Genomic DNA, 7,010 nt, shown 5'->3' on the forward strand with positions numbered 1-7,010 from the left:
CTTAATAAAAATTTGTGGGTATTAAAAAACTGATTCTACAGTTTCACAGAGACACAAAAGACTCAGAATAGCCAACACAATATTGAAGAACAAAGTTGGAGGGCTGGCATTACCCAATTTCAGGACTTACTGTAAAGCTATAGTATTAAAGATAGCATAGTATTGGTGAAAAAAATGGAAAAATAGATTAATCAAACAAAATAGGGAGCTTGGAAATAGATGCACATACATATAGTCAATTGATCTTTGACAAAGGAGCAAAGGCAATGCAATAAAGCAAAGATAGTCTTTTCAACAAATGGTGCTTAAACAACTGCACATTCACATAAAAGAAAACTAGATTTTACCCCTGATTTTACCCCTTTAACAAAATTAACTCGAAATAGGTTATAGACCTACATGAAAACTATAAAACTCCTAGAATATAGCATAGGAGAAAACATAGATGGCAATGACCCTGTTGATACAGTACCACAGTCATGATCCAATAAAAAACTAATTGATAAGCTGGACAACATTAAATTTTAAAAAAAAGCTGTCATGTTAAATACACTGCAAAGGGAATAAAAGACAAGACACTGACTGGGAGAATACATTTGCAAAAGATATGTATAATAAAGTTTTGTTATTCAAAATATACAAAAAAACCAGTTAAAGCTCTACAATTAGAAAACAAACCACAAGATTAAAAACTGTGCCAAAATCCTGAACAGACATCTCTCTAAAAAAATTAGATGAATAAATAAACATATGAAAAGATGTACCATGTCTTATAATATCAAGGAAAAGCTAATTAAAACAACAATAATCACTTCACACACATTAGTGTGGCCAAATTCTAGAACACTGACAGTACCAAATGCTGGTAAGAATGTAGAGCAACAGAAACTCTTATTTATTGCTGGTAGGAATGCAAAAAGGTACAGCCATTTTGAATTATTTTTGTACTCTGTACCAAATTTTCTGTTTTGTACTATTTTGTACCTTGCACAAGTGTACTACTGATACCAGTGGCAGCCAGTCTGGAGTGACCACTGCCATCATGTCAGCCACAGAGGGGAGATGAGGCTGGAGCTGCACACTCCACAGAGCCAGTGGGAGCTGTTAACAGTGGGATCCCTGACCCTTCTGAGTTGGTGGTGCAGGAGCTGCCCTGTACAGCTGCAGCCACCCAAGTTGTGGCTGCAGACCAGGGCCTCTCACTTCATGGAGCAGACAGGAGCCCCAGTACCCTACTGCAGGCACAGATGCAGCTGCCCAAACTATGGCTGCAGACCAAGGGCATCCCTGCACTCATGGGGGCCCAGGAAGGCCCCCCTCTGTCCTTGCAGGCTTGGAAGTACCTGCTCCCACTGCCTGGCATCTCCCTGCTGTCAGCACCCACTCCAATCTCGGAGCAAAGTCATGGCCAAGCCTGAGCACTGTCACAGCCCAGCCAAGTGTGCAAACTCTTGGGGAAGTGTTGAGATGCCAGCTCCCTGCCACTTCAGCCCCCTTCTGGACTTTGGGTGCCAGCGAGCATAGGAAGGAAGCCAGGAAGGGCCTGAAGGCTGGGGGCTGGGCTGCCACTTCCAAGGACTGGAGTGGGAACTTGTGGTGCCTTTTCTGGGCCTGTCCATGGCTACCCATGGACCAATCAGCATGCACTTTTTCCTCTCTGAGGCCCATAAAAGCCCCAGGCTCAATCAGATTTGAGCAGACATCTGGACAACCAGTTACAAAGAGGAGCTACCCACTTCAGGGCCTCCTCTCTGCTAAGAACTGCAGAAGTCAGGAGGACCAGTAGCAGAGAGTAACTACCCAACCCAGGACCTCTTATCTGCCAAGAGCCACAGAGACGACGGGAAGACCTGCCTGTAGAGAGTAGCTACTTGCTACAGGGCCTCCTCTCTGCTGAAAGCTCAACACTTGACTTGACCACCTGCCTGCAGAGTGGACCTACCCACTCCAGGGCCTCCTCTGAGCTATTTTGTCACTCAACAAAGCTCCTATTTACCTTGCTCACCCTCTACTTGTCTGTGGACCTCATTCTTCCGGGGTGCAGGAAAAGAACTCAGACCTGCCAAATGGCAGGGCTGAAAGAGCTGTAACACAAACAGGGCTGAAACACACCCCTTGCTCGCCATGTTGTCAGTGAAGTAGAGAGAAGAGCTTCAGCCCCTTGGGGATCCCAGACCTGGGAATTCCCCAAGCCAGGGCTGTAACTCCCTCTTTGGGGCCCTGCAGTTCCTGGAGTCTCCAAGCTTCCAGGTGCCACTGCATTCCTCATTGGTGAAAACTGCTTACGGTGCACCTGGTCTGGCAGCAGCCTTGCAGAGAGGAGCATCTGTGCCAGCATATGGAGCTGCCCACCCCTCTGCAGCAGCCCTTGTGCCTGACTATGCACAATGCCTGGACCCCATGCTCACCTGTTTACACACTCCTAATGACTCTACGCCTGGTATGCCCTTGGCAGGCATGGGATCCAGGCTGGTAGCATGAGCCAAGTGCATCCTGCCAGGCCGAGTGGGTGAAATGAGCCCAGTGGACCTGGGCAAAACTCAGGCAATGGCGCTACTGGTCACAGAGGTTTCTGGCTAGAAATGGAAACGCAACACCCTAAGGATCTTGAAACACTATTTTGTGCTTTGTATCAAAGGTGTTTCACACTTTCTTATAAAACTCTCCTAGAGAAATTCCATTATTATTTGTATCTTGACACTTGTGAGTCTGCTGGTAGAATGTGGGAAGAGGAAGCATTTTTTGATGCTTTGATTAAGCATCTCTCTTGAGTAGGCATCATGTAGCTAGATCATGAGGGAGTGACCTCAACATTCCTGCCACTCATCTTGCATGTGTACATGTTCCTGTGGTAGGTGCTTTTTTTTTTCTTTTTTTTTTTCTATCCCTCAGCTGCAACAGAGTTTTCCTGTGCTCTAAGCGAGAAAGAATTCATTGATCCCTCACCTTTGAACTAATGGTATTTCCCCAATAAGGAAAACAGGGGAGAAAGCCCTGGGCAAAGATTTGTGCCTCCCTGTAGTGGCCGTTCCAGCCCTCAAACATGAATAATGTTTTCTCAAGATCCGAACCAATTTGATTTGTGAGAACTGCATGAAAGCTCTGGAGAAAAAACCTAAAATGTGTTGCTATATCTTTGATCACCAAACTATTTGCCACATACAGTTTCCATTAATTTTTTACTTCTGTGGCTAAATTTTTAACTGATATCTGGCTTTGTATTTCTACGTGAGCAAACACTTTTTTCTTGACTCTTCTAATAGATTACTTATCTCTCTTTAGATGTCAGACTAATTTATTGCTCTGTTAACTCAGCTCTCTCCTGTCTTCAAGGAGTCATGAATTTGCAGATTTTCTGTTTTATTTATTGTTTTCTTTTTGGTTATTGTAGTGACGGAAGTGATGCTTGTTTTATGTCTCTACATTGTTACATAAAAACCAGAGTTCCATAATTTATCTTATTCTTTCACAATATGTATTTACTTTTAAGGACATTTTGTTGACAGTAACTTCAAAATATATTAACTGTCAAAGTACTTCTTACCAGGTATAACGTTGCAATCAGATTCTACCAGTATCATCTCTAGTTTATCATTATATAATGATAAAAGAATCAATTGGCAAGAAGATATAACAATTATAAATATATATGTACCAAAGACCAGAGCACACAGAAATATAAAGGTAATAGTGCTGGAGATAAAGAGAAAAATAGATCCCAATATGTAAAAAGTTAGGAAATTCAACACCGTACTTTCAACACTGGATGGATGATCTAGACAGAAAATCCACAAAAAAAAAAAAAACTTCAGACATAATCTGCACTGTAGAAAAAATTGATCTAACAGACATTTACAGAACATTTTATCTAATAGCTGCAGAATAAAAATTTTTCTCATCAGCACATGGAACATTCTGCAAAATAGACCATATGTTAGGCCACAAGACAAGTCCCAACACATTTTTTAAAATTGAAATTATATCAAGTATGTTCTTAAACCACAATGGAATAAAAGAAGAAATCAATAACAAGAGGTAATATAGAAACTGTACAAATACATGGAAATTAAGCAACATGCTCCTGAATGACCAATGGGTCAATAAGAAAAAATAATAGAGAAATTTAAAAAAAATCTTGAACCAATTGAAAATGAAAACACAACATAGTAAAACCTGTGACTGATAGGGTACAACCCATGTTATTTGGGTGATGGATTCCCTAAAAGCCCTGACTACACTGCTACATAATCTAAGAATGTAACAAAATTGAACGTGTGTATTATACATTTATACAAAAATATATACTACTGCCAAAATAATGCTAACAGGAAGGTTTATAGCAATAAATGCCTACTGTGCAAACTAGAAAAAATTCCAGTGAATAACCTAACAAAGTAACTGAAGGAACTAGAAAATAAGAACAAACCAAACACAAAATTAGTAGAAGAACATACATATAATAAGGATCAGAGCAAAATTAAACAAAATAGAGACTAAAAATTTATATAAAGTAAGTGAAAAGTTGATTGTTCAAAAAGATAAACAAAATCAGTATACTGCTAGCTAGGCTAGCCAAGAAAAATAGTGAAGACCCAAATGAATAAAACCAGAAATTAAAAAAGAGATAATACAACTGATATCACAAAAATACAAAGATAATCAGAGACTCCTATGAACAACTATAAGCTAACAAACTGACAAGTCTAGAAAAGTGGATAAATTCGTGGATAAACACAACCTCCTAAGATTGAACCAAAGAAATAGAAAATCTGAATAGACCAATAAAAAGTAACGATACTGAGTCAGTATGAAAAGTTTCCTAAAAAAGAAAAGCCCAGGACTGAACTGCTTTATGATTGAATTCTGCCAAACTTGTAAAGAATAACCAACACCAATTCATCTCAAACTATTCCAGATGATTGAAGAAGGGGAATTTCTTTTCTGTCATTGTGTAAATCCAGAAGTATACTGATACCCAAACCAGAAAAAGACACAAGAAAAATTAAAATTACAGAGGAATATCCCTAATCAACATGGATGCAAAGTTTCTCAAAAAACACTAGAAAACCTAATCTAACAACACATCAAAAAGATAATACACCATGATCAGATGGAATTTATCTCAGGAATGCCAGGAAGGTTCAGCATATGCAAATGAATAAATATGATACATCACATCAACAGAATGAAGGAAAAATATGATTATCTCTATAGAAACAGATAAAACATTTGATAAAATTCAATATCCCCCTCATGATAAAAACTCCCAACAAATTAGGCATAAAAGGAACAAACTTACACTTAATGAAGGCCATATGTGACAAACCCACATTGTACTTAATGGGGAAAAGCTGAAAGCCCTTTCTCCATTATCTGCAAAAAGACAATGATGTCTAATTTCACCACTCTTACTCAGCATAGTGCTGGAAATCACAGCCAGAGCAATCAGACAAGAAAAAGAAAAAAAAAACATCCAAAATGGAAAAGAGAAGGTCAAATTGTCCCTCTTTGCAGTTGGCATTATCATATATATAGAAAACCTAAGGACTCCCAGAAAAAATTTTAGAACTCAAAAACAAATTCGGTAAAATTACAGAATAAAACATCAATATACAAAAATTAGTGGTGGTTCTTTACACCAATATATACTTGCTGAAAAAAATAATCAAGAAATCATTTCAATTTATAGTAGCTACAAAATGTTAAAATACCTAAGATTGCATGTAATCAAGAAGGTGAACAACCTCCACAGTGAAAACTAGAATACACAGATGAAAGATATTGAAGAGGTTGCAAACAAATGAACGGACAGCTCATGATCATGGATCAGAAGAATTAATTGTTAAAATGACAATACTACTGACAGCAATCTCCAGATTCAAGGTAATCCTTATCAAAATACCCATGACATTCTTCACGGTAATAAAAAGAATCCTAAAATTGGTGTGGGAACATGAAAGACCTTGAATAGCCAAAGTAAGCCAGAGCAAAACGAAAAAAGCTGGAAGCCTTACACTACTTGAATTCAAAGTATATTACCAATCTATAGTAATCAAACATCACAGTTTTGATGTAAAAATGGGCACATAGGCCATTGGAACAGAAGAGAAAACCAGATGTAAATCCACATATTTACAGCCAAATGATTTTTGACAAAATCAACAAAAACCTACATTGGAGAAAGGACATGCTCTTCAATAAATGGTGCTGAGAAAATGTATATCCACATGCAGAAGAATGAAGTTAGACCTCTATTTCTTGGCATACACAAAAGTCAGCTAAAACAAATCAAGAATTTGGGCATAAGATCCAAAACTATAAAATTAGTAAAAGAAAGCATAGGAGAAACCTTCCAGATCATCGTCTAGGGAAAGATTTTATAAATAAGACTTCAAAAGTACAGACAACAAAAATGAAAATAGACAAATGGGACTATATTAAATTAAAAAGTTTCTGTACAGCAAAGAAAACATCAATAGAATGAAGGGACAACCTGAAGAATGGGATAGAATATTTGCTAACTACTTGTATGACAAGGGAATTATATACAGAATATATATGGATCTCAGACAATACAAAAGCAAAAAACCAAATGATCTCATTAAAAATAGGGCAAAGGATATGCATAGCCATTTCTCGGAAGACACACAAATGGCCAACAAGTATATAAAAATGCTCAATATTATTAATAATCAGAGAAATGCAAATTAAAACCACTAGCTATCACCTCACCCCCCAGCTGGAATGGTTATTATCAGGAAGGCACAAAATATCAAATGCTGAAAAGGATGCAGCGATATAAATTAGTACAGCCATTATGGAAAACAGTATTCAGGTTTCTCAAAAAACAAAATATAGAACTTTCATACAATCCAGCAATCCCACTACTGGGCATTTATTCAAAGAAAAGGAAACTAGTATATGGAAGTGATATCTATCTCCTCATGTTTACTGCAGCACTATTCACAATAGCCAAAATACAGTATCAACTTTTATTCATCAGTGAATGA

General features: G+C 37.9%; 1 annotated feature.

Moving 5' to 3' along the window:
• Positions 377-546: an enhancer, noted in NCBI's record as "experimental_66156 CRE fragment used in MPRA reporter constructs". NCBI's record gives its function as "activates a minimal promoter by MPRAs in K562 erythroleukemia cells, with activity observed for both the introgressed and non-introgressed 3:162608417 variant alleles {active_cell/tissue: K562}" and the evidence as "EXISTENCE:reporter gene assay evidence [ECO:0000049][PMID:34662402]".

The sequence above is a fragment of the Homo sapiens genome, chromosome 3 (assembly GCF_000001405.40).
Source record: "Homo sapiens chromosome 3, GRCh38.p14 Primary Assembly".
Lineage (NCBI taxonomy): Eukaryota > Metazoa > Chordata > Mammalia > Primates > Hominidae > Homo > Homo sapiens.